This window comes from Homo sapiens, chromosome 11, assembly GCF_000001405.40.
Source record: "Homo sapiens chromosome 11, GRCh38.p14 Primary Assembly".
In the NCBI taxonomy this organism is placed as follows: domain Eukaryota; kingdom Metazoa; phylum Chordata; class Mammalia; order Primates; family Hominidae; genus Homo; species Homo sapiens.
Window position 1 is genome coordinate 94,592,712 of NC_000011.10, and position 25,996 is coordinate 94,618,707.

At 38.5% G+C, this 25,996-nt stretch overlaps 1 protein-coding gene and 1 long non-coding RNA gene across 4 annotated transcripts in view, besides 1 other annotated feature; one reads left to right on the forward strand and one right to left on the reverse strand.

Moving 5' to 3' along the window:
• Window positions 1-25,996, reverse strand: part of PIWIL4-AS1 (PIWIL4 antisense RNA 1) — a 195,024-nt gene that overhangs the window by 47,380 nt on the left and 121,648 nt on the right. The window contains exon 5 of one of the 3 annotated variants that reach the window (NR_135096.1): window positions 756-854. The exons of the other annotated variants lie outside the window; for them this stretch is intronic. This is a non-coding gene — a long non-coding RNA (PIWIL4 antisense RNA 1). The remainder of the gene's footprint in view (window positions 1-755; window positions 855-25,996) is intronic. 3 annotated transcript variants of the gene reach the window in all.
• The window catches only part of PIWIL4 (piwi like RNA-mediated gene silencing 4), a 54,054-nt gene that overhangs the window by 25,344 nt on the left and 2,714 nt on the right, over window positions 1-25,996 (forward strand). Inside the window, exons 9-17 of the mRNA NM_152431.3 lie at window positions 807-930; window positions 2,598-2,715; window positions 5,093-5,204; window positions 9,084-9,268; window positions 11,273-11,345; window positions 14,728-14,928; window positions 15,872-15,975; window positions 23,782-23,852; window positions 25,243-25,396. Coding sequence (NP_689644.2) covers window positions 807-930; window positions 2,598-2,715; window positions 5,093-5,204; window positions 9,084-9,268; window positions 11,273-11,345; window positions 14,728-14,928; window positions 15,872-15,975; window positions 23,782-23,852; window positions 25,243-25,396 — 1,142 coding nt within the window. The remainder of the gene's footprint in view (window positions 1-806; window positions 931-2,597; window positions 2,716-5,092; window positions 5,205-9,083; window positions 9,269-11,272; window positions 11,346-14,727; window positions 14,929-15,871; window positions 15,976-23,781; window positions 23,853-25,242; window positions 25,397-25,996) is intronic.
• Window positions 10,196-10,415: an enhancer, noted in NCBI's record as "active region_5405". NCBI's record gives its function as "activates an Ori minimal core promoter by ATAC-STARR-seq in GM12878 lymphoblastoid cells {active_cell/tissue: GM12878}" and the evidence as "EXISTENCE:reporter gene assay evidence [ECO:0000049][PMID:35858748]".

Here is a 25,996-nt window from a genome sequence, read left to right on the forward strand (position 1 = left end):
TAAATTATAATGGAAATGAGTGTTCATTGTAACCTTTGTCATTAGAGGGTAAATGAGCTTTTGCCAAGGTGAGACTGCTGAAACTTAAGTTTAGGATGGTAAAGGGAGAGGAATATGAACTAACAGTTGCCGGGGATTCATTATAAACCAGACCCCATGCTAGTGGTTTACACAGGATACCTGTGAGCTACTGTTATCCTTATTTCATAGATGAGGAAAGTTAAGTCACTTCCCCAGTGTCACAGCCCAAGCAAATAGAAGAGCTGGGGATCAGATTCACATTTGTCAGACTTCAGGGCTGCTTCCCCGTAACATCCTACTATCCTAGAAGGTAAGGACAGTCATGCTGTTTTGGGAAATCTGAGATTGTCTCAATATAACTCGCCTCCAGCTTGTGTATAGATATTTTCAAAATGAATATAGATGTTTAGAGCCAGATAGTTAAGCATGGGGCAGTCTACCTCAGTCATCAGTAGTAGAAATGCTGGCTCTGAGTCAGTCCCAGTGATGTCATTGAACTATGTGTAGAACCAGCTGGAGTCTATTCTGAATCTGGCTGAAACCAAGAGACAGCAGGGAAACGATATTTTTAATGGTGTTGCATTAGAAAAGATAATTAAAATAATAAAACTGGCCCTCAGATATAAAAGATAGGTCCTGGGAAGAAAGTAGCAATAAGTAGGTAACTATGGGATTGGTTAGATTTATTTATATATTAATGTTAGGATCACCTTGTTGAATGTAAGGATGCTCACCTGGCGGTGCTTCCATGTTAACTTTTTACTTATTAATCTTGCATTTTATAGCAGTATGATATTACTGTATCGGACCTGAATCAGCCCATGCTTGTTAGTCTGTTAAAGAAGAAGAGAAATGACAACAGTGAGGCTCAGCTCGCCCACCTGATACCTGAGCTCTGCTTTCTAACAGGTAATGTTTGTGTTTTATACCTCTGTCAGGCTCCTGGATACAGGCCCCTGATGCTTGGCAGTGGGCAGACCCTCTTTAAGTTACATGAATGCCAGGACATCGATTTAACCCATGGAGGATGGTCCTTTTAAGTAATTTATTCAATAATAGAGACATGTTGGGGGAATCGATTCCCTTTATCTCATATATTCCATGTATTACTTTGATGTAAAATAGACCCCCTGATATCATCCTAAAACCAAGTTTCTCTTTGCCATTATTTGAATTTACTAGTATAGGAAGGAATGTGACTCAGATTTTCTTCAGGTGTATCAGTAGAGTGGTGCCAGAATGATCCATACTTTCTTTTTGCGTGAATTTTCAGAATATAATCCTCATTATACAGTAAAATCTGAATAACTGCCTCGAGTACTTTTAACAATGTTCTTTTGACTAACAGGTAGGCCTAGGAAGTGAAGACTTTCTACGTTTTGCATTTGTGTGTTCCTTGAGTCAGTTATGATGTGTATATATCTATTTTGCCATTAGAAAAATTAATAAGAAGGGCCGGCGTGGTGGCTCACACCTGTCATCCTAGCATTTTGGGAGGCCAAGGCGGGCGGATCACCTGAAGTCAGGAGTTCGAGACCAGCCTGGCCAACATGGTGAAACCCCATCTCTATTAAAAATAAAAAACTAGCTGGGCCCGGTGGCACGCGTCTGTAACCCCAGCTACTCAGGAGGCTGAGGCAGAAGAATCACTTGAACCCAAGAGGCGGAGGTTGCAGTGAGCCGCGATCACGCCAGTGCACTCCAGCCTGAGTGACAGAGCAAGACTCTGTCTCCAAAAAAAAAGGAAAAGAAAGAAAGAAAAATTAATGAGGATATAATCCTTGAAGGGAAGGGTGTTCATTCTTTTTATTTTTTTTGAGATGGAGTTTCACTCTTGTTGCCCAGGCTGGAGTGCAATGGTGCGATCTTGGCTCACTGCAACCTCTGCCTCCCGGGTTCAAGCGATTTTCCTGCCTCTGCCTCCCGAGTAGCTGGGATTACAAGCAAGCACTGCCACGCCTGGCTAGTTTTGTATTTTTAGTAGAGACGGGGTTTCTCCATGTTGGTCAGGCTGGTCTCAAACTCCCAACCTCAGGTGATCCACCCGCCTCGGCCTCCCAAAGCGCTGGGATTACAGGCATGAGCCACAGCGCCCGGCCTAAGGGGTGCTCATTCTTAATGGTGTTCTGATATTGTAGGTCTGCAGGACCCAATACAGTAGCCAGTAGCACATGAGTTTTTGAACACTTGAATTGGGACTAGCTCTACTAAAAGACTGAGAGGAGGTGTGCTTTAGGTGTAAAACACAGCCCAGATTTGAAAGGCTTAGTATGAAAAAAAAGAAGGAAACTACCTCAACAATAAATGTTTTATGTTGATTGCATGTTGGAATGATAATATGTTGGATATACTGGGCTAAATAATATACACTATTCAAAGTAATTTCGTCTGTTTCTTTTTTGCCTTTTCTTAATGTGGCTACCAGAAAACTTAAAATGACATACGTGGTTTTCATTTCTATTGGATGTGCTATACAGATGGTGAATGCATTCAAGTGGAAAGGTTTAAACTGGGCCTTTGATGGGCTGAGTTGCTTATGTTCATTTTCTCACTTTGTCTTCATTTGCATTTAATAGGGCTGACTGACCAGGCAACATCTGATTTCCAGCTGATGAAGGCTGTGGCTGAAAAGACACGTCTCAGTCCTTCAGGCCGGCAGCAGCGCCTGGCCAGGCTTGTGGACAACATCCAGAGGTACTGGATCACCGCATGCATCCTTCCTGGGGCTGAGTTTTTAGTATTAGATGGCCTATGTAACACTGATATATTCCTTGAAGGAAATGTGTCATTCATATTGATTCAGAGCAAGGAGCTTTTGAATTGTGCTGTCCACAGCCCTTCATCTGAGATGTCTCAGGACTAAGGGGTTGAAGGGAGTTGGAGGCCATGCTGATAGGAATAACACTTGCTTTACCTCCATGCCCTGCTTTCATCTATTTCATACATTGAAGTCTGGATAAAATGTTGAATAAAGAAAAAGGTTATAATCTAAACAATAACAACAACCTTCAAGCAAACAAAGCAACCAGAAAAACACCAGGCCCCCAGTATTAAGGGTCAGGAATGCTCAGCTCTTACTACAATGGCCTCAGCAGACTGAACTTTAGGAAAACCCCACTATGTGCCTTTTAAATTTGAGATATACCTTTGTGCCATCTGGTTCTGCCCATCTGATTATCAGACTATGTTTCCGTTCTTATTTATGACAGTTTGCTATAACATGTGATTGGAAAATTGAGCTTCTCCTTGGTTTTCCTTTCTGACCCTCTAAAACTGGACTATCTAGGGTGGCTGCTGCGCACTTGAAATGTGGCTAGTGACACATCTAGAAATGACAGTTTTTTAATCTATTGGGTTAAATAGGTTAAATAACATATATTTAAAACGTAATTTCACACTTGTCATTTTTTTACTTTCTTAAGGTGGAAGTAAAAATTTTCCATTTTTACTGGAAAATTTATAATTATGTATGTAGCTTGCTTTATATTCCTATTGGGCTATATTGTTGATCAACAGTCTTTTTTTTTTTTTCTTAAATCTTTTTTAAAGTAGTACTAGCTCATGGAGGATTTGGAAACTTACGTAGCACAAAGAAAGGAGAGAGAAAAGAGTGTGTATGTGTGTTTACTCAGTAAATATTTAACAAATGAGTGAATCACAATTGAATTAATAATTAATTCAATTAATATTAGTAATATTCTTTCAGACTCTGCAAACGCATATAATCCTATTTTTTAAAAGAGAAATGGTATAATACTGTACGTCATGTTTTGTAGCTTGCTCTTTTCACTTCAGGGTTTTTCTCAAACATTTCCATATGATAAACATGATCTCTATTATCATGCTAGTGTTTTCATAGTTTTTTAATTTCATGGATATACTTTACGTCATTTACCCTGGACGTCCCTCAGACTTATGCCGAATTGAGAAGGAATTCCTGGTTCGTTTCCCTTATAGTGACTGTGGATTAATCTTCCTGATGCATCTATCTGCCACCTTTCAGTAGTACCACACACCTCACCCCATTTCCTGACCAATGATGGCCTCACTCATCTCATCTTGGGCAGTTGGTATCTGAAGCAAAATAATTAACTCAAAGGAATTAGTGTGACCAGAGAAGACATAATCCGAATAGGTGGAAATAGTGAGCTATTGCAGAGAGACAGTGGTGAAGAGGTTTGAGCTTCCCTAAAAAAATTGGTAGAGCTTTAATAGGGAAACAAAAGCGTGGGGATCTCCTCCATGTCCCGCAAATGCCTGGCTTACTGTGTGCTGAGTCCTATATATGGTTGTCACTCTCAAGGAGCTTATGGCTCAGTGGAAGTTATCATATACTCCCATGAGCTAAAACATCAACTATGATTAAAGCTTATTAAGTTATAAATGGAAAGTACTACACAATAGAAAGCAGTGTTATTATTGCTGATATTAATATTCTCCTCATAGGATAGAGAGGGTAATAGGAAGATCCTGAATCTTCTGAAGCTTACATTCTTATGTTCCCTTCTTTTATCATCCTTCTTCGACTCTCAACCCAAGAAATTCACATATTCACAAAAGACATCTCCACATCCACTGGCTCCAAAATATCTCCTTATTAACGAGTGTGTTATCAGGAATGATAATATCTCATAGGTTTTGAGCACATGCCATGTGCCAGGGACTGTGGTGAGCACTTTCTGTGCATTATCATATTTCATCTTTATATCAATCCTACGAAGTAGGTGCTTTTATTATCCTTACATTTTGCCAGTAAGGAAACCAAGGCCTTAAAGATGAATAGTTTGCTCAAGGTCATATATTATTAAATGTTAGAGCTAGGAGTTAAACCCAGGTCTGTCTGGCTCGAAAGCTTATTTTTCTAACCACTGTACTCCCACTGGAATCCTTTTCCCATTCCTGAACATCCCAAATGAGCACAGTTGTCCCGTAATTCTTTTAAGCAGGGAAAAAATATGCTGAGTAGAATTAGAAGCCAGGAATCCTGAAGACACAGAAAATCAGCCCCTGACGAATTCAGTAAGTTATAATTATATCTCTCTTTAATGATTTAAAACAACTTTATCAACAGGAATACCAATGCTCGCTTTGAACTAGAGACCTGGGGACTGCATTTTGGAAGCCAGATATCTCTGACTGGCCGGATTGTGCCTTCAGAAAAAATATTAATGCAAGACCACATAGTAAGTGCTGTGATTTTATTTTCATTTAAAAGTATTTACTTGAATATGTGTAAGTTTTGTGCATTGGCCAGAGTGGCTTGTGTGCTTATAATATTTGGTTTGGCCATGTACTTCCATCTCTTTATCCTAAGACTTCAGATCCCCTGTGGTTTCCTTTTCAATCTGAATTTACTTGCACGGACTTAGCGGCACCCAGTGGACATGATTTAGGTTAGTCAGAAGACAGTATTTCAAATCATTGCAATTAAAACATACCTATCTTCTGTTGGGTGGTGCATTGCTCTTAAAAAAGAAAGCCATAGTCATCTGAGGAAATTCTATTAGCTGGTGGACATTAGTTCTAATAGATTGTTTTCTGATACCAAAACTGAGCCCAGGAGGTTAAGGCTGCAATGAGCTTTTGCAATGACTTTTAGTTGCCATGTCAGTTATGTATGTTAATCTTTCGAAATAAAACACTGCTCAATGGACATTAAAATCAAGAAGTATGCACAGAACCCAGCCCCAGACATAGTACTTGGGGAGAGAGGCATTCTGAAACCTGAAGAGACAAATCATCGCCACTTCCAGACTTCGGCTGAAGAAATGAACCTATTAATATTTTACGCAAAAATTATACATTATCTTTCTCCCCTCCCCCTCCGTTTTGCCCACTTTAAAACACCAGTCACATGTCATGTTTAAAGGCTCTCTTCTTGCCTTTATTGGGTGTAATAAACCAGTATGTCTAACTGATATAATTGAACAATGAATGTATCATGTTGGTAGAATGGGGGGAATTTTTTCCATCTTTTTTTTTTTTTTTTTTTTTGAGACAGGTCTCATTCTGTTGCCCAGGCTGGAACACAGTGGCATGATCACAGCTCATTGCAGCCTTAACCTCCTGGGCTCAAGCGATCCTGCCATTTCAGCCTCCCAAGAAGCTGGGACTATAGGCGTGCGCCACCATGCTCAGCTAATTTTTGTATTTTTTGTAGAAACCAGGTCTCCCTGTGTTGCCCAGGCTGGCCTTGAACTCCTGGGCTCAAGCCATCCTCCCACCTCAGCCTCTCAAAGTGCTGAGATTACAGACATGAGCCACCATGCCTGGCCTTGTCATATCTTTACAATAATCTATCCAAGTTACAAAAACTCTCATTGGAGAAGATAAGGAAGTACTATTTTTCAACACAAAACAAAACAAAACTTTATGGTAAAGTACTAAAATGTAGACTCCCATTAGGATCTTGGCGAGAGTTCAGTAAAGAGAAGCTCAGTTTCAGATCCACATGTGAAGAAGGACTTATGTACTTAAAATGATCCATCTCATAATTTCTATAAGTAAAGTCGTATTTCCCAGAGCCTTTCATTTTTATGTATTTGTTTGCATTTTTTTGGTGTAGAAACTGGTGTCCATAGGAGAAAGGGCATTAAAACAGGAGAACTCATGCACTGGAGGTAGCAGGTGTCTAAGATGACAATATCATCAACTTCTTGGCCCATTCTGCTTTTCTGAAATTAGGTCCTAGGAACTGAATGAACTAAAAGTTCATAGGACTCAGGGTACATTGTCCTGGGTCTCCTCCCAGCCCCATAAGACAACAGCAGGAAGAAATGTTGTGGGCAGAAGGAGTACAGCTCTCCTCATGCCCTAATGGACAGGAATGAACGTTGACTCCAGAGGGAGCCATTGATGGAAAGCTAGCCCTTCTCCTTTGCTCTCAGGCCGAGGTAGGTGGACTCCTGGGGCTGAATCCAGCCCAGCCAGTGGAAGGCATCATGAGGATGGCTGATGGTTGGAAGTCAGATAAGTCAGAGTGCTTGGTCACAAGTGCCCTGGCTGCCATGTCAGGAGACCAGCATTCTAAACCTGTCGCTGCTGCCAAGTGGTTTCATAACCTCTCAGTCACAGCTTTCTAGTTTGTAAAACAAGAGGATTGGGATGTTTCTTAAATATTAATGTACATGTGAATTACTTGGGGGACATGTTAACATGCAGATTCTGATTCAGTGGGTCTCGGGTGGTGCACAGGAGTCTGCATTTCTAACTGGCTTCTAGGCAGTGCTCAAGCTGCTGGTCAAGTAACACTTGACAGCACTTCAAGTAGCAGGAGATTAGCATACAATGTGGTCCCTTTTAGTTCTAACAGTGGATCTTCCCCACTTGCTGTGCCAAAGGCATCATTCAATTATAGTCTGAGGATATAAGCAGAGGTCTGGGAAGCAGGCTAACATTCCCCCTCTTCAGCGCAGGAAACCTGTTTTTCCTGGTCACATGAGAGACCTTTTGAGAGTGAGAAAGGAGTCTCCATCCTGGCTTCATCTTTGCTTCTAAGCATACCTACTCCTAGCTTAATATATAATCTTAACTATCAGGGAACCTGCCCCGATAGTCACATAGGTTATTTTCTATTTTCCTTAAGCATCGGCTGGTTTGAGAAATAAAGGGACAGAGTACAAAATAGAGAAATTTTAAAGCTGGGCGTCCAGGGGAGACATCACATGTCGGTAGGTTCCATGATGCCCCACAAGCCGTAAAACCAGCAAGTTTTTATTAGGGATTTTCAAAAGGGGAGGGAGTGTACGAATAGGGTGTCGGTCACAAAGATCACGTACTTTACAAGGTAATAGAATATCACAAGGCAAATGGAGGCAGGGCGGGATCACAGGACCGGGCGAAATTAAAATTGCTAATAAAGTTTCGGGCACCGTTGTCACTGATAACATCTTATCAGGAGACAAGGTTTTGAGAGCAACCGGTCTGACCAAAATTTATTAGGCAGGAATTTCCTCTTCCTAATAAGCCTAGGAGCGCTATAGGAGACTGGGTCTATTTCACCTCTATAGTCTACAGACCATAAAAGACAGCCACGCCCAGGGGGGCCAGTTCAGAGACCTACTCCCAGGCGTGCATTCTCTTTCTCAGGGATGTTCCTTGCTGAGAAAAAGAATTCAGCAATATTTCTCCTATTTGCTTTTGAAAGAAGAGAAATATGGCTCTGTTCCGCCCGGCTCACCGGTGGTCAGAGTTTAAGATTATCTCTCTTTTTCCTTAAACATTGCTGTTATCCTGTTCTTTTTTCAAGGTGCCCAGATTTCATATTGTTCAAACACACATCCTCTACAATTTGTGCAGTTAATGCAATTATCACAAGGTCCTGAGGCGACATGCATCCTCCTCGGCTTACGAGATGAAAGGATTAAGAGATTAAAGTAAAGACAGGCATAAGAAATCACAAAGGTATTGATTGAGGAAGTGATAAGTGTCCATGAAATCTTCACAATTTATGTTTAAACACTGCAGTAAAGACAGGCATAAGAAATTATAAAAGTATTAATTTGAGGAACTAATAAATGTCCATGAAATCTTCACAATCCATGTTCTTCTGCCATGGCTTCAGCCAGTCCCTCCGTTTGGGGTCCCTGACTTCTTGCAACACTTAACTGTTCTGTAGGGTGTGTTAGTTTTATTATGATGACCTAGAGTATTGATAATCAGCATTCTCTGAGATATTTAGATGCTTAAAGTAAAAGATAAAATGATACAGGCTGTTTGCCTGAGTCATTCATAATAAAGGCATAGATACTCAGAGCTGGAAGGGAACCTCAGAGATCTTTGAATCAGACACCATTCTCTGTGCACCGCAGAGAATCATGAGGTTAAAGGGACCTCCAAGGGCCACCAGTGCCTGGAAGACCTGGGATGACGCCCAGATGCTTCCACTCCCAGAAAGCACATGTATTCTGTTCGGATGTGCAGTGCCTGCATCTGTGTTTTAAGACTGAATAGCAAACTGTGTTAAACAGTTATAACAAAAGTTGGCCATCTTCACACTGTCTTTATTTAGCTGCTCTCTGAATAAATTTGTTCAATCCTTTCATGATCATTATTTTTCTCAGTGTCAACCTGTGTCTGCTGCTGACTGGTCCAAGGATATTCGAACTTGCAAGATTTTAAATGCACAGTCTTTGAATACCTGGTTGATTTTATGTAGCGACAGAACTGAATATGTTGCCGAGAGCTTTCTGAACTGCTTGAGAAGAGTTGCAGGTTCCATGGGATTTAATGTGGACTACCCCAAAATGTGAGAATACATTGAATTTTGTTCATATATTAATTTGGTTTGGTTAGAAGGTAGGGAATAATGGCAGATGTATCAACAAAAGCTTCTTTATCCCAGTAGTTTCCTAATGTAAAGTGCCAAGAAAGTAGTCATAAGTAGATAGATTTTGTAATGACTAAACTTTTATAAAGTTAGAATATATTTTATGTTGGCCTTTGTAAAACTTGTACCCAGTTCTTAAGCAGTAGTGTCATTACCTGAAAATCTTTCCAGTACCAGTTGGGATATAAATCTTTAATAAGTCCATATATTGTCTTCTCAACTGTTTTTCCTTCTTTCAGATCAGTTTTTCATATCAGTTATTTACTTAATAGGAAATGGATATTAAAAAACAGAAGTTGCATGTCCTGACTTTTACTTGATTTTATGCTTTAAAATTTAATATGAAAATAGATCTCAAATAAGCTTTTCTGATTCTGTTACTGTAGCATACTATTAGTCATTCAGAGAGTTTTCTGATAAGACTAAGGTCAACCATTTATTCTTAGAATGTTTATTGAGTACTAATATGTGTAGATACTATGCCAGTTGCTGGGAATGAGAAAGATAAATAAATAGTTTTTCATTGAGTAAGAGATACATATACAATCACACTGAAAATAAATACTGTTTTGCTTTAGAAAAGCCATAAAGTTGGTCATGCCTCATTTTACTGAAACTGATATGCTTAGAAAAGAGGAACAGATACTTTTCTTTGTTATAATGGAGTTATTCTTTAAACACATAGTTACTAATTAATTGCATCAGCAGCACAAGTATTAATCCCAAAGTCTCATTTAACACCATTGTTTAGAACTCTCCTCTTATCAAATCTGTTAATAAATAGCCTGGATTGAGTTTCACCCGCTCTACTTTCTCTAAACCCATGAGCTAATAAAGCAGGAAATGATTATGAAAGAAGCCACAGTCCGCAGATCCTGGGCTGACATCACAGGCTCTTTCTCATGTGAATTCTGGAACAAGCCCATTGCTATGTTCTGTCCTTGGCCTGTTTTATTTGAAAGCTCGTATTTTATTTCAACCTTCTTTTTTCCATGAAGTATCCATTTACCTGTTAGATTTATATGCATAGCTTCTGTCTTCTAAAACATTCACCTGATGATTTTAGGAGTGGACTGTAAGTGCAGCAGAGTCAGAGTGCGAGAGTTTGAATTGGATGAGTCAGGACCATCTAGTTGCTGAGACGGTTCGGCCAGCCAGTCACATAGGTCTGTTAGTATCTGCAGTCATGGGGTTGATGGTCCTGTCACCTGCTGGGCGAGTTTTAAAAAGCCGCTGGGCATTGGGACAGTTCACTTATATACACATAAAAGAGGCTGATTCTACATAAAGAAACTAGTTTTACAAATTCCTATGTGTGTGAGAATTACTTTTGGAGCTGCTGGCCCCTAACATAATGTAAGCACAGAACAGATAATTGTTAAGTACTTGTGCGCTGATTAAGGCTAGACATTCCAGGCTCCAGACAAGCAACCACTAAGGAAAATAAAGATATTTTTGTCTAAATCATGCAAATTAGCTGAATATCTTGGTCTCATTAACCTGATGTTTTCTGAAACATTCATTTTTAGATTCCTATAGCAATTCACTCTTACAGAAATCTTAATCCTGGTTGAGCTTGAACACTCTTTCAGACATTTGATACTGTGAGACTTGGGATTTCAAAAGTTCACTTTCAACCCCATTTTGAACAACAGAATTATTGATTATAGGGATTCTGGACAATTGAGAAGATCTGATTTTCTACCAAACCATTTTTTACACTGTAAAAATTATTGCGAAATGTTTTTGTCATATTTTGTAGTTTAAGAAACAATTTTAGACTCAAAAGGTTATTTTCTCTAATAATTTTTCCTAAAACTACTAGTTTGTTATGAAAATTTATTTGTATTATTTCTAATGCCATATAAGTATGTGCTACTAAGAAGGAAGTTACATAGCTTCAAAATTAATCTTTTTATGTAGCATAAAAGTACAAGAAAATCCAGCTGCATTTGTTAGAGCTATACAGCAATATGTTGATCCTGATGTTCAGCTGGTAAGTACAGGATACTTTTTGAACTCCTTTAATCTATAATTTTAGTTCTGCTTTATATCTACAGTCTGAACATACCCTCCCATGATATATTTGCAAATTGCCATGCATTTCTCCAAAGCACCGAAGAAAATATTAATCTTAGTATTTTAATCAATATTTTATTTCCTTTCCACATTTCTAATATTAATTTTAAAATACAGTACTTCTTGTTACCCCTATAACAGCCATTGGTGTCTGCATATTTTGCAACTCATTGGGGTCATCTTTTCCTTAAGATTTAAGATAAACTGACTCCCACCTCATCACATAAATGTTGGTATCCAGTGTTCCCTATATTTCAGGGGATTCTTGGAGGGTTAGGTTTTTCCAAGTGACCTATGGCCCCAAATTCCTGCTTCCTGTGAATTCTTGCCACCTTCTGTGCATTTCAGAGAGGACCACTTCCTCCGGTGCTGCATCACCTGGTGGGACATCCACAGTTGCCTCATTTCCCAAAGGGCATGTGTGTGTAGCTGACTTTGCAGACTGTTTGGGGCCAAGGCATGATTACATCACATCCCAACATTCCAGAAAAATTAGAATTGACATCCCTGTTCTTAAAAATCTTTCAACGATTCCTATTTCCCAGGAATGTTTACTCTTCTACCAGACCTCAGCACCCCCAGGCTATTGTAGGGCTTTTCCTGTCCATTCCATCTACCCTTCTTACCTCCCTCGCTCACTCAGTTCAACATCCAACATTCTTGTTGTTATGTCATGCAAACTAACTGAACTAGCTAAGTGCTATCTCTTTGCTTTTCTTTTAGTGAGTTTCTCTTTTACTCTAAAGGATCTTATATGAAACAGAGAATTCTCACCCTAAGAGCATTTATTTTTTACTTAAATCAAACTTATAGAAAAGTGACAAGAACAGTACAAACAACTCTCTCATATACCCTTCACCCAGAATCCCAAATTATTGACCTTTTACCATATTTGCTTTATTATTTTCTATCTTTTTTGCTGAACTATTTGAGCATAAGTTACAGGCATGATGCCCCAGTGCCCTTGACTATTTCAGTGCATATTTTCTATAAACAAGGTCTCTATCTTACAGAAGCATATGACAATCATCAAAATTAAGAAACAGTTTTCTTCATTTGTCTCAATTGTCACCTCTGTAGGAAAAGGCTCTACTGTCCTGCACTTAGTTGTCCAGTCTCTATAGTCTCTCCTTCAATCTGGAACAGCTCTTTAATTTTCCTTGACTCTGATGACCTTCCAATTTTGAAGAGTACAGACTAGTTATTTTGTATAACGTCCCTCGATTTGGGTTTGTCTGATGTCTCCTCATGATTAAATTCATGTTATGCACTTTTGGCAAGAGTAGCACAGCAATGATCCTATATTCTAAGTGCATCCTACCAGGTGTCACTCCACTGTATGGTGGATTATGGTGACATCTGCCCGATTTCTCCACTGTAAAGTTAAGCTTTATCAGTTGCATGTGTACATATGTAGATATTTTGAGACTATATAAATAATCCTGTTCCTCATCAAACTTTTACCCATTTGTCTTAGCATCTATTATAATTCTTGCCTGAATCCATCATTATTATGATGGTTAACAAATGATAGTATTCCATTCCATCAGTCCTTCTACAGTTATTAGGTGGCATAGGAAGAACTTTCTCTTCTCCCCATTTATTCGTTTGTTTCTTTATATCTGCATAGACTCATAGATTCCTATTTTGTTATAGTCCATTACTCTTATTATTTATTTTGTTGCTCTTAATATTGTACCTGATTTTGCCAGTGGGATTCCCCTTCAAGCTGGCTTCTGTGTCTTTTTCATGTGTCTCCATCTTTCTTGGAACACTTTCTTACTTTCTGGCAAAATAAGATATTCCAGGCTCATCTTACAGTGTTGCTTCCCCGCCCTGGAATCAGATATCTTTCCCAGGAGTCCTGATTCCTTTTAGCAGAGAATAGTATTTAGATACAAAGATTTGGGGCACTTGGTGTGCTTCATTGCTACTGGGTTGTTGCTATCCCCAGGCTTTCTCAATGGACATAGCTAGGAAATGTATGTTGCATGGCTCCTGTTATTCCCCGCATACCTGCTTACTTGTCCAGCCCCTGGTGTGGAACCAGTCTCACTCGGCTCCCATCTTCTCTCAGCCCATTGGGCCACTGCCTTGTTCTACCACTTTTCTTGCTTGGAGCCAAACTCATGAATTGGAAGGAAGGAAGGCCTCTAAGAGCCTTTTGCTGATAATTTAAAAATATTTTTCTTCACTTTATATAATTAAATGTAAATAATTTTAGCTTTTGACATTGTGACTTTAAATAATTCTATAGGTGGAAAAATTACTTTGTTTTCTTCTGCTAATCATTGACAGTGCATGTCTTTTCTACAATTTGGGGGCTTTTGAAAGTGGAGAATAAAAGATGAGAAGGAGGCGGAGGTAGGCCCTTCAGTGCGGAAAGCATCTGATAAGAAGTAGGAGTAGGCCAGGGGCGGTGGCTCACGCCTGTAATCCCAGCACTTTGGGAGGCCAGGCCGGGGTGAGTGGATCACAAGGTCAGGCATTTGAGTCCAGCCTGGCCAACATAGTGAAACCCCGTCTCTACTAAAATTAGAAAAAATTAGCCGGGCGTGGTGGCAGGCGCCTGTAATCCCAGCTACTCGGGAGGCTGAGGCACAAGAATCGCTTGACCCCAGGAAGTGGAGGTTGCAGTGAGCCAAGATCGTGCCACTGCACTCCAGCCTGGGTGACAGTGTGAGACTCTGTCTCAAAAAAAAAAAAAAAGCCAGGGGACTTGAAACTTCTCTATCCACCCCCCACTCATATCCATACTCTCAACTTCAGCTTTTTTTTAAAAAAGTGTATTTTTGTGTCCTTTATTTTGGTTATCTTGTACCTAATGGGAAAAGCACCATAGTTTAAGCTAATTCTCAACTTTGGCTTATCTTTGGGTGGGGTCAGGGAGGGACCAATGGGAATGATAACTCGAAAACCATAGGAAAGGATCACTGCAAAGTTGGGGGTGAGGGAGTGGAGATAGCTGGAGAAGCAGCTCTGTGAGAAGGGAATTTGAGGGAATTGACAGAATCAAATCAGGAGAGAAATGAGGAGAAAGGAAAAGCCAAGGGAAATGGGTAGGAGTGGGTGGGGCTTTGCAGAGTGAATGGCTAATGAGAAGGCATTTCAAATGGATTGATTAATTCACCAGTGTTTTAATGGCCATTTAAGAGAACTGTAGGCATGTTAGTGTTGCTTCTTGGGAACTTAAGGGTAAAAGATGTTTGGAGAATAATTCATGAATTCATTTCTTTAAAAAGCAACTTCTTAGCAGAAGTAAATTAACTTCCAAAATCTTTTGCTGTTTTTGCTTTTAGGTAATGTGCATTCTGCCTTCTAATCAGAAGACCTATTATGATTCCATTAAAAAATATTTGAGCTCAGACTGCCCAGTCCCAAGCCAATGTGTGCTTGCTCGGACCTTGAATAAACAGGGCATGATGATGAGTATCGCCACCAAGATCGCTATGCAGATGACTTGCAAGCTCGGAGGCGAGCTGTGGGCTGTGGAAATACCTGTAAGGACCCTGTCACATTTTTTCTATTAGTAATTAATAAATTTATTTTAAAGATTAAAGTAGGAGATGTTATCACATGATCCCAGAATTATTTGGTTTGCTTGTTTCTTGAGCCTTTGCCCTGGGTTCTGGCATTCCATAAGCCATTGTGAATCTCCAAAAGAGGCTCCATACTTCTCAGGGAGCTTCAGTTAAGCTGCTAACTCAGCATAGGGACCTGATTTGAATCCTCTTGGCTGCTATTTTAAAATCTGTGTTCCATTGCCTCCACATTTACTTGCTTTCATCAGGGTGCTAACTCTGAGAATAGCCTTGCACCCTGGATGGGGCCTCCCCAGAGCCTGGGGAGCTGGCATAGCCTATGACCTGAACCTCCAAACTGTGGTAGGTACTGAGAAAATCCTCTTCTCTTCCCTGAACTGTAGCCACCATGGGAGTAAGTGAGGAGAATGAGAAGTGAGGGAGTGTTGCCCATTTCCTTACATGTCCATAACCAGAATGAACATGGTTACCCTCAGCCTCCCTCTCTCCCACTCCCCACAAAGGTGCATAGCCAAGTGAGGATTCCTTAGAGATCTGAAGAATGAAGAATGGAATTCCTCTTCAGATTGCTCCAGACCAGAGGCAAGCGATAGATACACTGACCACACTCCCAGAATCTCTTTAGCCACTGGTGCCCCTTCCCCACCCCACAAAGGATGATGGTTATCTTGGACGGTAGTGTTTCTCTTAAGATAAGTGTGTACCATATTCTTCCTGCCTTCTTTAAGTCTCTCTCATTTCTGGTTTAATAATCTGGCTCACGGATCTCAATCTCCCTTACACATAGCTTAACTTTAAGAATTCAGTAACTGGAGTCTGTTTTTAAAAACTTTCCTATTAAACCATTGGTAGGGGAAATGATACCTCATCCCATTAAATCATGACAAATTTAATTTTATAGTTAAAGTCCCTGATGGTGGTCGGTATTGATGTCTGTAAAGATGCACTCAGCAAGGACGTGATGGTTGTTGGATGCGTGGCCAGTGTTAACCCCAGAATCACCAGGTACTGCTAAAACTACCTGAACACATGCTTCATTTAGTTAGACTATTAATTGTGGTTTCACTAAAGAATGTAACAGCAAGGAATATTTTGTATTATTCACTCATTTTAAACACCAACATTTAGGTTCATAAATTACACTTACATATAAAAATGTGATTGATAATATTGGGGTACTATGTAGCCTCATTAAAAAATCTTTTATATATTCATTAGGGTGAGCTATTGCTCATCTTCCCCAAATGATAGATGTGTACAAATTCTTGTGCATTTATTTATTTTCTGAGTGTCTGCACCATATTGGGAACTGAACTAGGTACTTTACATATATCATGTCGAGCAGTTGATCTTTGAAATCAGATTGCCTGGATTTATACCCTGGTCTGCCACTTACTTACTCTGTGACTGAGGTCTAGTTATTTAACTTTGCTGTGCCTCACTATGGTAATCTGTAAAATAGAAATAATAATGATGACTATTTCATAAGGCATTTATGGGAATTATCTAAAATAAGGTGCATTGAACATCTCCACCCATAGTAAATACTCAATACATACTTCTTGTTATGATTATTAATATTTGCAGACATTTGACGTGGCTGTTGTTCAGACAGCTATTAAAAACAGGCAAAATCAGGGATAATGCCTTAAACATTGGCTAATAGTACTCATTAAACTATGGGTCTTAGAATTGTTTCCACCTTTGTAATTGAACAATATGTTTTGAGCCTATAGCAGCCCTTTGCAAAATGTTTTCTTCCTGGCTTAAGCTATTTTATTTACTCCATTAAATTCATGATCAGGTATGTATTTTGGATTGTGGGAAACAGAAAAAGGAACACCATAATAACACCATACTTGCATGCCTACAACTTCATTCCAGGTTGTATGAGATGCTTCTTATATATGCCACATCATTAATCAAGTTGATAAAGGACTTTCATTTTTTTCTTTGTATATCTAAAATTTATTTTGATATAGGGAGTGAGGTAGGGATCCACTTTAGTTTTTTTCTGAAATGGTCACCATTTATCAGAAAATTTATTATAATTTTTATCAGTTTTGATAATTGATGCATACATTATATATATTTTGAATGTACAGTGTGATGTTTTGATATATGTATACATTGTGAAATAATTACCACAGTCAAGGTAACTAACATATCCATTACCTCACATAGTTACCATTTGTGTGTGTGTGTGGTGAGACTACTTAAGATCTACTCTCTTAGCAAATTTCAACTATACAATAGTACATGATAATTAACTATACTCAACATGCTGTACATTGTGTCCAAAACATATTCATCTTATAACTGAAAGTTTGTACCCTTCAAACAACATCAAATATTCCTATCCTCTGCCCCTGATAACTATCTTCTACTCTCTGTTTCTATGAGTTTGACATTCTTAGATACCACATATAAGTGATCGTACAGTATGTCTTTTTGTGTCTGGCTTATTTTACTTAATATAATGTCCGTGGGTTCATTCATGTTGTTGCAAATGGCAGGATTTTCTTAAGGCTGAATAATATTCTATTGTGTGTGTGTGTGTATATCTCACAATTTCTTTACCTAACCATCCATCAGTTGTCACAGGTTGATTCTATCTTGGCTATTGAACATGGGAATGTAGATATCTGACATACTGATTTCTTTTCCTTTGGATATATAGCCAGAGTGGGATTTCTGGATCATATAGTAGTTCTACTTGAAATTTTTTGAGGAACTTCTTTACTGGTTTCCATAATGGCTATGCTAATTTACATTCCCACCAACAATGTATAAAGGTTCCCATTTTTCCACATTCTCCCTAATATTTATCTTCTGACTTTTTGGTCATAGCCATCCTACAGGTGTAAGGTGATATCTCATTGTGGTTTTGATTTGCATTTCCTTGATGATTAGTGATGTTGAGCACCTTTTCATGTATCTGTTGGCCATTTATATGTCATCTTTGGAAAAATGTCTATTTAATTGGATTTTTTTTCTATTGAATTGTATGGGTTCTTCATATATTTTGGATATCATCCCCGTATCAGATATGTGATTGCAAATGTTTTCTCCCATTATGTAAGTTGCTTTTCATTTTGTTAATTATTTCCTTTGCTATGCAGAAACTTTTATTATATTGTTGTATTTTTGGTGTCATATTCAGAAAATCATTGCCAAGATCAATGTCATGGAGCTTTATGTTTTCTTCTAGAAGTTTTGCAGTGTAAGATCTTTTGTTTAAGTCTTTAATCCATTTAGAGTTAATATTTGTATATGGTATAAGGGTCCAATTTCGTTTTTTTACATGTGAATATCTAGTTATTTCAACACCATTTATTGAAGAGACTTTCTTTATCCCATTGTGTATTGTTGGTGTTTTTGTCAAAGATTAGTTGACTGTATACGTGTGGATTTATTTCTGGGCGTCTTATCCCATTCCATTTGCGTATGTGTCAGTTTTTATGGCAGTATCAGGCTGTTTTGATTATTATGGCTTTGTAATATAATTTGAAATCAGGAAGTGTGATGCATCTAGCTATTGATTTGCATATGTTGAACCATCCATTCTTACATCCCAGGTATAAATCCCATTTTCTCATCATTTGTGAAACTTTTAATATACTGTTGAATTTAGTTTTTAGTATTTTGTTGAGGATTTTTACATTTATGTTTATCAGGGCTTTCCTTTTTTTTCACATAGGCATTTATTGCCATAAACTTCCATCTTAAACTACTTTTGCTGCATCCCATAAGTTTTAGTATGTTGTGTTTCTATATTTCAATTTTGCAGTTTTCCTCCATTATTAATTCTAGTGTCATACTATGATGGTCAGACAATAGTAAGCTTGATTGATATAGTTTGTTCAAATATTGATATAGTTTGTCCCCTCCAAAAAATGTGATCCCCAATGTTGAAGGTAGGGCCTGGTGGGAGGTGTTTTGGTCATGGGGGTAGATTGCCCTCCCCATGGTAATGAGTGAGTTCTTGTTCTGTTAGTTTGTGCAACAGCTGGCGGTTTAAAAGAGCCTGGCATGTCTCTTGATCTCTCTCTTTTGCTCCCTCTTTCACCATGTGACACCCTGGCCCCCCTTTGCCTTTCATGATGATTATAAGCTTCCTGAGGCCCTCGCCAGAAGCAGATGCTGGCACTATGCTTTATGTACAGCTTGTAAGACCATGCGTCAAATAAACCTTTTTTTTAAATAAATTGCCCAGTCTAAAGTGTTTCTTTATAGCAATACAAAACTAACAGATTGATATAATTTCAGTCTTCTTAAAGTTGTTAATACTGGCTATGATTTGTCTTGGAGAATGTTCCATGTGTGCTTGAGCAGAATATGTATTCTGCAGTTGTTGGCCGAAACATTTTATATATCAGATTCATTTGGTCTAAAGTATAATTCAAGTCCAATGTTTCCTTATTAATTTTCTGTCAGGATGATCTATCTGTTGTTAAAAGTGGAGTACTGAAGCTCCCTACTATTATTGTATTGCTGTTTCTCTCTTCAGATGTTAATATTTGATTTATATATTTAGATGCTCAACTATTAGGTGCATACATACGTAAAATTGATGTATTCTCTTAATGAATTGATTCTTTTATCCTTATCCAACGACTTTGATTTTTGTGAGGTTTTTTTTTTTTTTTTTACAAAAGTCTATTTTGCCTAAGTTTAGCTACCCCTGCTCTCTATTGGTTTCCATTTGCATGGAATATTTTTTCTATCCTTTTACTTTCAATCTATGTGTGTCCTTACAGCTGAAGTGAATCTCTTTGTAGGTGGCATTTAGTTAGGTTTTCTTTTTTATCCATTTAGCTACACTGTGTCATTTGATTGGAGAATTTAATCCATTTACATTTAAAATATTGATAAGTGATGACTCACTATTGTGATTTTATTCATTGTTTTCTGGCTTTTTTGTAGATTGTTTCTTTATTCCTCTCTCTCTGTCTTCCTTTGTGATTTGATGATTTTCTGCAATAGTATGCTTTACTCCTTTCTCTTTTTTGTTTTGAGTATCTACTATGGATTTTTGCTTCATAATTACCATGAGTCTTACATAAAACATCTTATGGTTATAACAGTATATTTTAAGCTGATAACTTTATCACATACAAAAACTCCTCACTTTTACTTTCTCCCCTACATTTTATGTTTTAGATGTCATGATTTGCATCTTCTTATATTGTGTATATATGCATTAATTATATTGTGTAGCTGTTTTTATTAATTGTATTGTTATTTTCTTATGTAGCTATATTTTAAAATACTTTGATCTTTTATCCCTACAACTAGAGTTATAAGTAGTTTATAAACAACTATTACAGTATTAGAGTATTTTGAATTTGATGATATACTTACCTATATTAGTGAGTTTTATGCTTTTATATGTTTTTATGTTACTTATTACATCCTTTCATTTCAGCTTGAAGAACTCCCTTTGTTATTTCTTATATGGCAGGTCTAATGGTGATGAACTTCCTCAGTTTGTTGTTTGAAAACTTCTTTATCTCTTTTTCATTTCTGAAGGACAGCTTTTCAAGGAAAAGTATTCTTGATAGATCAGTAGTTTTTTCTTTCAAAACTTGGAATATATCATCTCATTCTCCTGGCCTGTAAGGTTTCTGCTGAGAAATCTGCTGATAGCCTATGAGGGTTCCTTTGTATGTAATAAGCCTCTCTTCTTGCTGCTTTCAACATTCTCTGTCTTTGATTTTTGACAGTTTGATTGTAATATGTCTTGGTGAATTCTTCTTTGGGTTGAACCTGCTTCAGAACTTTTGAGCTACGTGTACCTGGATGTTCCTATCTCTTTCCAGATTCAAGAACATTTTAGCCATTATTTCTTGAAATAAGCTTTCCACCTATCTCTGTTCTCCTTTTGAAACTTTCGTAATGCAAATGTTAGCCCTCTTTATGGTATCCCAAAAACTCCATAGGCTTTCTTCCATCCTTTTATTTTTTCTCCTTTGTGTATTTTCAAATGACCTATCTTCAAATTCACAGATTCTTCTACCTGATCAAGTCTGCTATTGATATTTTCTATTGCTTTTATTTAATTGTATTCTTCAGCTCCAGAATTTCTGCTTGGTTCTTTGAGATGGAGTCTCACACTCACCCAGGGCTGGAGTGCAGTGGCACAATCTTGGCTCTCTGCAACCTCCGCCTCCTGGGTTCAAGTGATTCTCCTGCCTCAGCCTCCCAAGTAGCTGAGATTATAGGCACCTGCCACAATGTCCAGCTAATTTTTTTTATTTTTAGTAGAGAGGGGGTTTCACTGTGTTGGTCAGGCTAGTCTCAAACTCCTAACCTCCTGATCCACCTGCCTCAGCCTCCCAAAGTGCTGGGATTATAGGTGTGAACCACCAGGCCCAGCTTGCTTGGTTCTTTTTTAATTGTTTCTATCTCTATATTGAAGTTATTGTTTTGTTTCTGTATTTTTTTTTTAATGTCATTGAGTGGTCTGTCTGCATTCCCTTGTAGCTTGCTGAGCTTCCTTAAACAATTATTTTGAATCCTTTCTCAGGCAATTCACAAATCTCCATTTCTTTGAGGTCAATTACTGGAATATTATTGTGTTCCCTTGGTTGTGTCATAGTTCCTGATTTTTCTTTTCTTTTTTTTTTTTTTTTTCCTTTTTGAGATAGAGTTTCGCTCTTGTCACGCAGGCTGGAGTGTGGTGGTGCGATCTCAGCTCACTGAAACCTCTGCCTCCCAGGTTCAACTGATTCTCCTGCCTCAGCCTCCCTAGTAGCTGGCATTACAGGTGCCTGCCACCATGCCCAGCTAATTTTGTGTATTTTTAGTAGAGTCAGGGTTTCACCATGTTGGGCAGGCTGGTCTTGAACTCCTGACTTCAGGTGATCCTCCCTCCTCGGCCTCTAAAAGTGCTGGGGTTACAGGCATGAACCACTGCACCCGGTCAGTTCCTGATTTTTCATGTTTCTTGAAGTTTTGCATTGCTGTCTTTGCATTTGAAGAATCAGTCATTTCTTCCAGTCTTTATTGGCTATCTTTGGGAGAGAAAAACCTTTAACAGTCAGCCCAGCTAGGGATTCTGAGGCTCTCTTACACGTTTTCTATTCATGTGCCCACTCCACACTTCTGGTTCTCACTTGGTGGGGGGATCCTTAAAATTGCATGCACTTTCTCAATCCCACAAAGCCAGGCCAGCTGTCAAGAGGCTCTCATCTGTTTTCCCTAGGGTGGTGCCCTGAAATGCTCATTTTGTGTACCTTCTCCAAATCCTGAAGAGTCAAGCTATCTGTTTGTGTGAAATGCTTGCACTCAACATCTGAACAAATGTGGTTGGGGAGCCAGCCTGGTCAGGGGTGGTGGTGAGATACATGTAGCATTTGGGGTGCCTGTGAGTCAGTTGAGGTGCTCCATAGGCAAGGTATCCTAAGAAACCCACAGGAGGGCCTCTTGATGAAGCTCATAGAGCAGTCAGTAGGGTTTGCAGCCACTCTTTCCTGCCCCCAGACTCTCCTAACCTCCCAGCTGTGCTGATAATCTTGTTGTTCTGGTTGAGGCAAGAAAAAAGTGGGCATCCTAGGCAGTATCCTGAATGGGTGAGGGAGCTGGGTACTCACTCACTACACTCTAATTTTCACCCTGTAAGAGAAATCATGGGCTGATGTGATCTGTCATGGCACTGAGCTGTGCCCTCCGTAGGGGAGGAGCAATGCAGGTAAAGTGAATCTCTTTGTGTTACCCTCTTTAATGCATCCATTCTCTGATGTTTTACTCCAGTGATGTGCTGGAACGTCACCATTGGAGTTAGTCTCATCCATGGGTAATTGTCAAAATTGATGCTTCTGGAAGGGAAATGATGGTAGAAAGCTCCTATTCTTCCACCTTGCTAATATCACTCAGGACTTCTAGTTTGTTGGCAGCATTCCTAATTGTGTTCTGTTTTTTTTGTTTTGTTGTTGTTTTTTACAAAAAAACAAAATGTTTAGAGATGGGGTCTTGCTTTGTTGCCCAGGCTGGAGTGCAGTGGCTATTCACAGGCACAGTGATAGCACAATACAGCCTTGAACTCATGGGCTCAAGCAGTCCTCCTACCTCAGCCTCCCAAGTAGCTGTGACTATAGGCACGCGCCACCACATGTAGCTGTATTACTGTTGTTGCATATATTTAGAGAGGTATAATAATGCTGGAACATACCTAACACAAAGTCATGATCTTCATTTCCAAGTGCTTTAAGTTAATTAATGGTGGTAGTAAGAGAACTTGTTTCTGAAATCTACACAATAATGTTAAGATTTCTAATCCAAAAGGATCACCTATAGAAATGAAAGTTTATGCTTCAGAAATCTTTGAATATTTTGACAGTAGAAGCTCTATTGCTAAATTAGTACATTAATTTATAACAATAATAGTGGCCTCTATTACTCTTTACTATATGCAAAGTACTATGCTAAATATTTTACAAATATCATGTGATTTAATTTTTACCACAACCCTATGAGGTAGTAACTAATCTACTTACCTTGTAAATCTCCTTGGTACAGATGAGGAAACTGAGACTTAGGTTCACATAGCAAAGTTACACAGCTGGTGAGTATATTGACTAGGATTTGAAGCTCGATATGGCTGATGCCAACACTATGTTTAGCTTCTGTTCTCAATAAATTCTTTTTGGGTAAAGGGTCTCTTTGATATAATTGTGAACACATAACACATACAAAATTGCGAACATTGATTTTTACTCATAATCTCTGTTTCTTAATTTAATATTAATGAATATTTATGGTAGAAAAATTGAAGTTGAATTTTACTTTTATTTTTTTTTTTAACTTTAGGTGGTTTTCCCGCTGTATCCTTCAGAGAACAATGACTGATGTTGCAGATTGCTTGAAAGTTTTCATGACTGGTACTAAAAATATAGCAATGTGGGTGGGCTCCAAGGACTGTTCCTTCAGACCTCAAATCCACATGCTTATAGAAGACCACATAGGTCAGAGCAAACTCTCTACACCTGTCTTTGTCAACTGTCACCCAGTTGAAGATCTCTGAAGCTGCATGCCGATTTAGGCCAACAATCAGACTATGTAGCATTTACATTTACATTTGTCTGTGTGTGATAACATGAAGCCAGAAGGAAGGAAAATTTGTGGCTGCTGGTTTCCCTGACAAGCAGTTTGAAGGTCAAAAGAAACCAACCCTGGAGGAACTCGAGTTATGACAGAGCAATGTTAAGTGTAGACCTAGGAGGGAAGCCTATAGGGCTAGGATAGGGGTGCTAACAGATAAAGTGGCAAAGCAAGAGAAGAAGGGAAAGACAGCAGATGAGGAAAGGTGCCCTATCCATAGCAGGATGCAATGCAAAGACAAATCTAAGGTTTCTGTTTCTTCACCACTCCTGGCCTAGGTCTGGCTTTGCTATTTCCTAGCAGTGTGACTTGTACAAACCCTTCCCTCTCCTGATCTGCATTTTCCCATCTGTAAATTTGGGAGTATTGTAAATATTTTTTCTTAAAAAATGAATTTGCTTATACATGTTGGTAATGGACTTATATATATGATTACCTTCTATCAAACTAAAATGAATTTCCTAAACAATAAACTCTTAAAATAACTATGCAATATATACATGAAAATAATTATTGCATTCTATTATATTCCCCTCACATCGAAACCTGGTAAATTTTTTTAGCAGGTAATTTTTTTTTTAGCAGTTATTAAAGGTTTTCGTTGGGTAGCAGTTACTCTATGGTCCCTGTTCTTTAGGAAATTCATAGTTACAGTGAGTAGAAATGTTTTCAGAGTTCATTCCCTCAGTGAGAATTGGAATCAATTGGGTGAGTCAGTGTGAAGATATGTTTTCAGAGGAACAGCAAAGCCATTTCCTTAGATTTTCATATTTATTCTCATTAGGAAGGAAAATGACATAAAATTAGTTTATATCTAATTAGAGGATTTAAAGACTTGAAGACACTAATATTTGATTTTAGGCATTTGTCTATTGCATTAATTTTTAATTTATTGCTTAAATATTAAAATTTTATTTAAAGAGATAGGCCAAGTTTAAGAATATATCATGCCATAGAAACCATTGTGATTCCTTGAATAGCAGAGACAGAGGAATGCTCCCTAAAGTTATCCATTGTTATATTCTTGCAAATATAACCCAAATTATGTATTGCCCTATTTTACAGTGGTCTGAAATAGCAAACCCATTTAAACACTGCAATATATGGGAATGTTATTTTTTGTTGGCATTAGAAAAGTAATTCTTTTCTTACTGACACCAAATTCTGCAGGAGCACTCAACAAATGGTACAAGTACAATCATGATTTGCCAGCACGGATAATTGTGTACCGTGCTGGTGTAGGGGATGGTCAGCTGAAAACACTTATTGAATATGAAGTCCCACAGCTGCTGAGCAGTGTGGCAGAATCCAGCTCAAATACCAGGTATTCAATTATTGTTCTTTCCTCCATACTCCCAATTATAGCATATTCAGCTGTAGCTATTACACACAAGGTATTCAAGCATAAGTTTTGTTTTTTATGCAATTAAGTTTTGCTGTGTTTCTGTATCATGCCAGTAGAGCTCTATCATTTCCTTCAGATTGGAGGGTAGTTGGGATGGTCTAACATAAATAGCTTGGGTGGTATAAGCTTTGGGGGCCCTGGGAGGGGAAACCTAGACAAAGAAAGGTACCCTCAGAGCAGCTGACACAGATTCAGCATGAAGCCTGCAGGGCTGCTGGCAGTGAAAATACTTCATACATATTAATATCACATGGAAGAAAACAAACCGTGATTTCAAATTCAAGGCCCTAATACACACAGAACCAAAGCCTCTGAGTTGCAGGCACTGATGTGCACTTAAGGTCTATGGAAGGTTCTCAAAGGGTTTGAGTGCCATGAAAGCTGAGCTGCAGATGGAAATCAGACCATCCTGAACACCAGGCTTCTTGCTCCACTGTTGTCTGTGTTTCAGTACAAAATTTTCTGCAGTGATTATGTGAAATGGCAAGTTCAAGAAAATGTTGGAAATGGAAAATAGGA